The following is a 10,519-nucleotide window of genomic DNA, read 5'->3' on the forward strand; positions in this document are numbered from 1 at the left end:
CTTGTTTCTCTCACTAAGAGCTTCCCAACAAGTCATGCACATTAACGTGGATAGAGCTGGAGGCCCTTCCTCTTGTTCACAATTTTGCATTAATGTAGCTATAAGTGGGAATCTTTTTTTTTTTAAATCAAGTCTACATTCAAACATGCTTTTAAACTAAAAATAACTGCATTTAAATAACTTTAGAGAGAATGATATAAAGGAGGATTTAAATGTTAGCTGTAAATTGATACTCACTCTTCATTATTTCTTATCCCAGAGTATAGCCAAGTGACTGGCATAGAAAAGGTTATTAATAAATGCTTGGAGGAAGGAATAAATGAATAAATTCTAAAATGTTAATAGTTTTGTGATGTGTCCCTCTCAAGGGTGAAACTTGTAATTTAACACGCAGAACTTTTCTTTTCTTTTTTTTTTTTTTTAGACTGAGTCTCGCTCTGTCGCCCAGGCTGGAGTGTGCAATGGCACGATCTTGGCTCACTGCAAGCTCTGCCTCCCGGGTTCACGCCATTCTCCTGCCTCAGCCTCCTGAGTAGCTGGGACTACAGGCGCCCACCACCGCGCCCAGCTGATTTTTTGTATTTTTAGTAGGGACAGGGTTTCACCGTGGTCTCGATCTCCTGACCTCGTGATCTGCCCACCTCGGGCTCCCAAAGTGCTGGGATTACAGGCGTGAGCCACCGCGCCTGGCCAGAACTTTTCTTTAATAAATTGCAAATGGTAGAGTTTTCAGGCGTCTGTCTAGGTTGCACCAGAAATATTTCAGGTGACTGAGTTGTATTACAGTTGTTGGGATGATTTCTTTCTTAAGTTACCCCATATTCAATTTAAAATGGCTTAACCAGTAGAGAAAATGTATTACCTCTAAAACAAGCAGTCTTTGGATAGGACAGGTCTAAGGTTAGTTATTCTAGTGGCTCGATAATGACTAGGCCAGGTCTGATTCCCAATGAAGCCAACTCTAGTCATTTTCCTAGGAGATTTTATAAACCAGGGAACTAGTTAAACACATTTCATTGAGAAAGTTACACCAAGATTTGATCAGCTAATGAGAAATACATTTAGCTGTTAAGGGTACCCCCACTTTTCTTGCTTCCTTACTCTCAAGGAGACCCCTGTTTTCAACATTTTCAGTTGTATTCTGTGACTTTTTTCATTTGGCTGGGAATGATGTGGTTGAAGGATCTACAATCTATTTCACAGTTCAGCAACAGAGGCCATTCATTCATTCATTCATTTATCAAATATTTCTTATGCTTTTATTAAGCACTGCAGATACAAAGATTTTTAAAAAGGTCAGGTTTTTGTGGAGACCCTGCCCTCCTGAGGAGAAGATCTACTAAATGTGCCTGGGCAGCAGAGGAGACTCCTGAAAACCTTTCAGAAAAGGAGTTGTTGGAGCTGGATGTAAAAGTTGAGTGAGAGTTTTCCAGGTGGACAGAGGGGGAGGGAGGGCGTGTTGGGTCGAGGGCAGCATGACAAAGGCACAGGCCGTGTGCCATGGTGTGTTCAGAGAACAACACGCTCAGTGTGCCTAGAGGACGGGAGAGGGTAAAGAGGTGGAAACACAGAGGTGGCAGATGGAAGGAGGTCGGATAGGGATGGGCTCTGAAGTCAGGCCCCAGTTTGAATCCAGGTCCCACTTTTGCAACAGCTCAATGGTTGCCTTCATGTCCCAGGGCTGCATAACAAATTACCACAAACTGGGTGGCTTAAAACAAGTTATTCACTCATGCTTCTGAAGGTCAGAGGTCCAAAATCGGGGTGTGTTGGGTGTTGGCAAGGCTGTTTCCCTCTGAAGGCTCTGAGGACGAATCCAGCCCATGCCTCTCTGCCAGCTGCTGGTGGCTGCTGGCAGCCTCAGGTGCTCCTTTGCTTGGGGCTTTAAGATTCCATGCTCTGCCTCTGGCTTCACTAAGCCTCCCTTTCTCTGTGTGCCTCTCTGTCTCTCCTCTTCTCTTCTCTTTGGAGTTGACAATGGATTTAGGGCCTGCCTTAACCCAGGATGATCTCCTCTCAAGGTCCTTACCTTAATCACATCTGCAAAGACCCTATTCCAAATAAGGTCACACTTTGAAGTTCTAGGTGGGCCCATCTTTGGTAGACCGTAAGGCAGCCACTACAGTAGTCTTAGATAATTAACTTACCCTCTCTAAGGACTTTTCCTTATGCAAAGTATAGGGATAAAATATTTATCCTAAGGGGTTATTGTGAGATTCAAATATAATGCTTTTTCATTGCTTAGGAAGTACTTGGTCTATAGTAAGTGCTCAATAAATGGTAGGAACGTGGATATTATCCTATAGGCAACAGAAAGCTTCATAATGTAGGCGTTTGAGGAGGGAGAAAAAGAAGTTGCTTTCCAAATTTGCCCTCTTTTTTTTTTTTGAGACAGAGTCCCACTGTGTCACCCAGGCTGGAGTGCAGTGGCACAATCTCAGCTCACTGCAACCTCCACCTCCTGGGTTCAAGCGATTCTCCTGCCTCAGCCTCCCGAGTAGCTGGGACTACAGGCACGCGCCACCATGCCGGCTAATTTTGCATTTTTTAGTAGAGACAGGGTTTTGCCATGTTGGCCAGGCTGATCTCAAACTCCTGACCTCAGGTAATCCGCCTGCCTTGGCCTCCCAAAATGCTGGGACTACAGGCGTGAGCCACCGCGCCTGGCCAGGGATGTGCAAGCGCCCAGGTGATGCTGAGGCCACTTTGAAAATCACTGTCCTGCACATCTGCTGTGCTTTGCAAATAGGAGGTGCTCAATAAGTCCTTGTTGCAATGAATCCTATACTTTCTAAAATGAAGCTTCTCTCTTAGGGCGACAAAGACTATTCAAGACTTAATACCAACTAATAATGCCGATTGTAGACTGCTAGTGAGTTGTCAGGTCTTCCTGCATACAACTTTAAACCATGATATCAATTAATTAGACTTAGACTTCAGCCAAATCCATCCCAATAAATACACTTTACAAAACCCCAAACCTTGCTCCATTAAACATTCCTTGGCAATATGGAAGGGATACTCTCTGGCACAAGATTGAGGAGCTTTGGGGCATTGGTTAACTTCATCAGGTCTACAGGGAAAATCACAAGAGGTGAGTTGCCTTTATGCCTCTGATAGTGAAAAACAGTGTGGTGTAGCCTTTAACAGATATATATATATATATATATATATATATATATATATATATATATATATATATATATATATATTTTTTTTTTTTTTTTTTTTTTTTTTTTTTTTGAGATGGAGTCTCACTCTTGTTGCCCAGGCTGGAGGACAATGGCATGATCTCGGCTCACTGCAACCTCTGCCTCCCAGGTTCAAGCAATCCTCCTGCCTTAGCCTCCTAAGTAGCTGGGATTACAGGCGCCTGCCACCACACCTGGCTAATTTATGTATTTTTAGTAGAGACGGGGTTTCACCATGTTGACCAGGCTGGTCTCGAACTCCTGACCTCAGGTGATCTGCCTGCCTTGGCCTCTCAAAGTGCTGGGATTACAGGCATAAGCCACCGCGCTCGGCCTAACAGCAATATTTTAAAATACTGTCATCAGTCAACATACTTAGTGCCTCCTCAAGTGCCCCGTGAGGAATCCTATGAGAGAGAAGACTTTGAGACATCATCCCTACCCCAAGCACTAAGAATGTAGTTGAGGAGTTGAGATCAGAGGGAAGGTTCCTGAGGGGTGGGAGGAAAGCTTGGTTGCTGGAGGCCACATTAGAGCCAAGCTCACTTTCCCCCTTTCCTGGAGTCAACAAAGTGCCAAGCCAGAGTTTGCTGTCACAGCTTGTGAGATCTTATTGGTCGGTGATGTTATTTCTCCTCAACTTGAAATCAACCATAGTGAGTATCTATACTATAGGAATCAAGCAAAAGCTACAAATCAGGGTTTCTCCCAACCCCCTCCCAAGGGAGCCAGTTTGCCAGCACACCAGTCACTCCTCGGGCCTAGTAGAAAACTTGAAGCAGCCTGAGAGGTTGCAGTTGCAGTTTCCAAGAGGAGCCTGGCATGAAATTGGGTCTGACATGGCACCAGAGCCTCAGAGTGGTGATGGCTGGAAGAGAGGCCTAAGGGGATGGGCCTCATGGCTGGGATGGGGAAAGTGGCCCAGAGTTACCAATCCTCCAGGGGGCAGGGGGCAGAGCAGGGAGGCCTAGGGCCAGCCTGGACAACTAGGAGGACCAGTGCTCATACCTTCAGTCTGGAGGCCACGGAGGGACCAATGACATCAGTGGGAGATCGACCAGTAGGACCAGCTAGAGGCAGCCAAGGCTGTGAGGGTAGGGGATGGCAAGTGGACAGAAAACGTTACTCTTGGCCAGAACGAGAGGTGAGGCACCCCCACCCCAACTTTAGATCTCTCCTGGGGGGAAAGAGGGGAGCAGAAATGTGAGGGGGAGATGATCTTGCATTTACTGAGTTTTAATCTTGAGTTAATTGTGTTTAAAACCAGAAGTGACTAACTTACCTTAAGAGGCAAATTTTAAGTTTTCCCATCCTTGGTGAAAATGTGAGCGTGGGAGCCAAGATAACTTCTGTTTCGTAAAAGAATGTCTTTGAACATCTGTATCTTATGGACTTGCTACTGAAAAAAAAATTTTTTTTGCTTCTCCCACCCCTACCAAAATCAAGTCAGGGTTAGCTCTTTTCCAGGAAACATTTTTCCTTTCTTTTCTTTTCTTATTTTTTTTTCTGAGTTGGGATCTCACCTGTCACCCAGGCTAGAGTGCAGTGGCATGATCATGGCTCACTATAGCCTCAAACTCCTCAGCTCAAGTGATCATCCCTCCTCAGCCTCCTGGGTAGCTGGGATTACAGGCCCAAACCACCACACCACCGCAAACAGATAATTTTTTAAATTTTTATTTTTTAACTTTTTATAAAGACAGGGTCTTTACGTTGCCCAGGCTAGTTTCAAACTCCTGGCCTCAAGTGATCCTCCCACCTCGGCCTCCCAAAGTGCTGAGACTATAGGCGTAAGCCACCATACCCATACTACTGAAAATTTCAGACCTGTGATTTCATCTCAAACCTTTGTAAAATGAGATGCCATAATCACTATTTCATGTAGTAAGAATTTAAGGTTTTTCTTTAATTAAAATAAAAGAGGGCTTACCCAGGCATGGTGGTACACACCTACAGCCCCTGTTCCTCAGGAGACTGAGGCAGGTGGATTGCTTGAGTCCAGGAGTTCGAGTCCAGTCTGGGCAACATGGCAAAAACTCGTCTCCAAAAAAAAATTACAAAAATTAGCTGGGTGTGGTGGTGTACACCCGTAGTCTTGGGAGGCTGAGATGGGAGGATCACTTGAGCTGGAAAGTGGAGGCTGCAGTGAGCCAAGATCACACCATTGCATTCCAGCCTGGGTGACAGAGGGAGACTCTATCTCAAAAAAAAATCTATATCTATCTCTGTATATAATTGCTTAAAAAAATAAGGGTTCAACAATGCCTGCTATTCCAAACTTTAGGAAAAGCCTAATTCACACACACACACACACACACATTTATTTATTTATTTATTTATTTATTTTTCTTTTCTGAGACGGAGTTTCACTCTTATGATCAGGCTGGAGTGAAGTGGCATGATCCCGGCTCACAAGTGGCGCAATCTTGGCTTACTGCAACCTCTGCCCCCCCAACCGGGTTCAAGCAATTCTCCTGCCTCAGCCTCCCAAGTAGCTGGGATTATAAGCACCTGTGACCACTCCTGGCTAATTTTTGTATTTTTAGTAGAGACAGGATTTTGCCATGTTGGCCAGGCTGGTTGCAAACTCCTGACCTCAGGCAATCCACCCGCCTTGGCCTCCCAAAGTGCTAGGATTACAGGTGTGAGCCACCATGCCCAGCCAATTCGCTAATATTTTAAAAATTAATTTTTATTTTTTCCTTTCCTTTTTTTGCAGGGATGGGGGGTGTTGAAGAAATCCCCCCAAAGAGTAGGTCTCTCCCAGCATCCCCACCTGTTCTTAGATTATTAAACTCTCAGTTAATGTTGCAGTGGAATTATATGCAAGAAGCCTGGGAAACCTAGTTTTTACTGGCTTTGTAAAATTTCATAAAATAATGGTCTTTCAAAAGGACCTCAGGTGTTATCTAATTAAATGGCCTCATCTAATAACGGAGGAAACCTAATCTCAGAAGGTGAATCCACTTGCCCAAGGCTACTCTATTAATGAACAGGAGAGATAAGACTCTATCCCAAGTCTTCTAATTTCAATTCTGCTGCTGCTGTGTTATGTGAGAGTAGAGTTTACGGATATGTAACTACCTTAAGTGGATTTGAAATCCCAGCCAGGGAGCACTGATTGCTATGTTAGCTTTCTGAAAAATTTCTAAGTGATTAAAAGCTTGTTTTCCCTGTAGTCTGAAATTTCTACTAATGTAAAGAAGCAGGATTTCATGACAGCCTAGAGTCACCATACTGTAAGAGGTCCCCACAAACAGCTTCAGAGTGAGCTTAAAAAAAAACTGGTGCTATGCTTAGTTTTTGGTTTTGTATAGCTTTTTAGATGACCAAAGTACACTGTAATTGACATTCATTTGGAAAACTCAAGCAATATAGACAGGATTGGACGAAAGTGAAACTATCCTAACCCCATTCCCTAAATTACACTTCCCAGGGACAAGCTTTAGAGTTTGGTGAATATAAACCACCTTTTTCTTGTGTAGTGCTAGTGAATCTAACACAAAATGCCTGACCACGTTTGGGGGCGAGGATGGGGTGGGAAACAGCCCTTTTAGAGCTTCCTGGGTTTTAACTATGACAAAAGAATGTTAGGAACATGAAAATCACTCAGAAACAAAATCCTTAGAGTGGGTCTCTCCCTGTCTCCTGCCTCATAGGTTATTTAATTCTCAGTTACTGACTTGGGTGGAGGTCCCTTTAGACATGATTTTCAAGCCATTCTGGAGGTATCAGAGGTCCTATAAGAGTTTAAAATTTCATTTAAAAAAAAAAAAGTGGCCAGGCATGACAGCTCACGCCTGTAATCTCAGCACTTTGAGAGGCCAAGGCAGGTGGATTGCTTGAGCCCAGGAGTTCGAGAGCAGCCTGGGCAACACAGGGAGACACTGTCTCTACAAAAAATAGGAAAAATTAGCCAGGTGTGGTGGCATGTGCCTGTGGTCCTAGCTACTCAAGAGGCTAAGGTAGGAGGATCACTTAGGCCCAGGAGGTGGAGGTTGCAGTGAGCCGAGATTGCACCACTGCACTCCAGCCTGGGTGACAGAGTGAGACCTTGTCTCAAAAAAAAAAATTAAAAAAAAGAAAGCAAGAAAAGAAAGAAAACATAGGCTCGGTGCGGTGGCTCACACCTGTAATCCCAGCACTTTGGGAGGCCGAGGCAGGAGGATCACGAGGTCAGGAGATCGAGACCATCCTGGCCAACATGGTGAAACCCCATCTCTACTAAAAATACAAAAATTAGCTGGGCATGGTGGTGCATGCCTGTAATCCCAGCTACTCGGGAGGCTGAGGCAGGAGAATTGCTTGAACCAGGGAGTTGGAGGTTGGAATGAGCCGAGATCGTGCTACTGCACTCCAGCCTGGCGACAGAGAGAGACTCTGTCTCAAAAAAAAAAAAAAAAAGAAAAGAAAACGTAATAAGTACATCCACCAAATTCCATATTCTAAAGCACTCATGTTAACTCTTTCTTGGTTTGGGCACACCTCAGAAAGAAGTTTCTGTCATTCCTCTGCATACATGCAGGATTTGATGAGGAAAATTATCTATGGTGGTCTTTTAAAAATATATAGACCTCTTTAGGAGAACTGCTTGAATCCAGGAGGCAGAGATTGTGGTGAGTCAAGATCGCGCCACTGCACTCCAGCCTGGGCAACAAGAGCAAAACTCCCTCTCAAAAAAAAAAAAAAATATATATATATATAGTATATATATATATATACCTCTTTATGTCCATCTAAGCAACCTGGTAAACAGGTACAATATGACTTATGAGTGGGAAGCAGAATATTTTAAAATTTGGATCCTGAGCCTGATAGTATATAGTGGGAAGCTGAGTTCTGAAAATGGGCAGTCTTGGGTTTTAATAGCTTTTTCCCCCTGCCCCCCAGGCTGGAGTGCAGTGGTGCAATCACGGCTCACTGCAGCCTTGATCTCCCGGGCTCATGTCATCCTCCCACCTCAGCCTCCTGAGTAGCTGGGACTACACGTGTGCCACCATGCCTGGCTAATTTTTGTGTTTTTTGTGGAAACAGGATTTCACCATGTTGCCCAGAGTGATCTTGAACTCCTGAGCTCAAGCAATCCGCTGTGTCTTGGCCTTCTAAAGTACTGGGATTGCAGGTGTGAGCTACCTCTCCCGGCGTGAATAGCTTCCTGTGTGGCCTCGGGCAAGGCATTTAACCCCTCTGAGCCTCGGTTTTCTCATCCATAAAATGGGGATAACAATATAAAAATAAAAGACATCCATGTTCTTAAGAGTCATTGGTTATTTCTGGAACTTCTCTTTGACTATCTTTCTTTCTTTTCTTAATTATTTCACTTTTTTTTTTTTTTTTCCCAGCTGGAATCTTGTTCTGTCACCAGGCTGGAGTGCAGTGGCACGATCTGGCTCACTGCAACCTCCGCCTCCTGGGTTCAAGCTATTCTCCTGCCTCAGCCTCCCGAGTAGCTGGGATTACAGGCATGCACCACCACACCCAGCTAATTTTTGTATTTTTAGTAGAGACGGGGTTTCACCATGTTGGCCAGGATGGTCTTGATCTCCTGACCTCACGATCCTCCTGCCTCGGCCTCCTAAAGTGCTGGGATTACAGGTGTGAGCCACCGTACCCGGCCCTCTTTGGCTATCTTTCTAAGGTTATTTAATATCTCATAATTTCTACCATCTAGCATCTTTCTAACTACCCTTCTCAAGACCTCAGTCTTCTACTCCATCTAATCAAATCTTTCTCTTCCTTTAGGCAGTCCCCAACCTCTGGGAGTCTTGTTCATTTCTTTGGAAGAGCGGCTTAGCTCTTTGCCTCACAGCACAATGTCGGAGTACCTTCCCTCATAGCTAAAATTTCATCAGGAAGCTGCATTAAACAGAGCTTCTGCCTAGCACTGCCTTCAGCACGAGGCCCAGCAAAAGCTCTTAACCCAGTTTCCTTGAATACGATTCATTTTCTTGGGCAAGGTGCTCTCCTCCACCAGCATCTGTGAGCAGGAGAGATTACCATCTTAGATCTAAACCCTGCCATCTTCCTCAGGAGGCACAACTGCCTATTCGCTTCTTCTAGAAGGGGTGAAGTTACCAATGTGAACTTACAGATTTGTCCTAATAAAATGTTGCTTTTAGCTCTTTAATATATAGGGGTCCCATGTTGGAGTTTACTAGAAATACAGGGTTTAGTCACTAAAAAAACAGTTGACAACCACCGACTTGGGGCTTTTCTGTTTGCTCCCTGCTGGTCAGAAGGGAGACAGTTTCTTCTATTTTTCCTTTTTTTTTTTTTTTTTGAGACAGAGTTTCGCTCTTGTCGCCCAGGCTGGAGTGCGTGGTGCGATCTCGGTTCACTGCAACCTCCGCATCCCGGGTTCAAGCAATTCTCCTGCCTCAGCCTCCCGAGTAGCTGGGATTACAGGCATGTACCACCACTCCCAGCTAATTTTTGTATTTTTAGTAGAGATGGGGGTTTCACCATGTCGGCCAGGCTGGTCTCGAACTCCTGACCTCAGGTGATCCACCTGCCTTGCCTCCTAAATTGCTAGGATTACAGGCATGAGCCACCGTACTTGGCCTTATTTTCCTTTTGAACCACTAAGATCCTTTCTTTCTTCAGTATTTATTCAATTAACTTTTCATTCTCTCATACTCCAAAACTAGCAGAATGTTTACATCCTGACATCTGAGGACATAAGACCTTCTCATCTTAATTTCTCTCAATCATAGCAGATTTTTACATTCTCTTCCTAATACAAATACGTTCATGAGTTACAGCTGCTGATTTTATAATTACCAACGAATTGCTTTTGGATGCAAGGAGACATTTTCTTAAAGTCACAGCATTTAGAACAGTCAACTGACCAGAATTTTAACAAGGTGGTATTATAGGTACACATTGGTTTATATAACTAAAACAACAAACTTAGATTTTAGATATTTTCCCTTAAAATGAATCCAGCTTTCAACTGCTTTAGAAGAATTTGTTAATATTTTCATTATAAATATACAAACTTGTATATAAAGAAAGCCCTAACTAAAGGTTGGAACTGTTTCCTTTAATTATTTTATTTTATTTTGAGACAGAGTCTCACTCTGTTACCCAGGTTGGAGTGCAGTGGCATGATCTCAGCTCACTGCAACCTCCGCTTCCTGGGTTCAAGCGCTTCTCTTGCCTCAGCCTCCTTAGTAGCTGGGACTACAGGTGTTCACCACCACCCCCAGGAAATTTTTGTAATTTTAGTAGAGACGGGGGTTTCGCCATGCTGGCCAGGCTGGTCTTGAACTCCTGACCTCAAGTGATTCCTGCCCCCACCTTGGCCTTTCAAAGTGCTGGGATTATAG

Source organism: Homo sapiens, chromosome 2 (genome assembly GCF_000001405.40).
Source record: "Homo sapiens chromosome 2, GRCh38.p14 Primary Assembly".
Taxonomy (NCBI): Eukaryota; Metazoa; Chordata; class Mammalia; order Primates; family Hominidae; genus Homo; species Homo sapiens.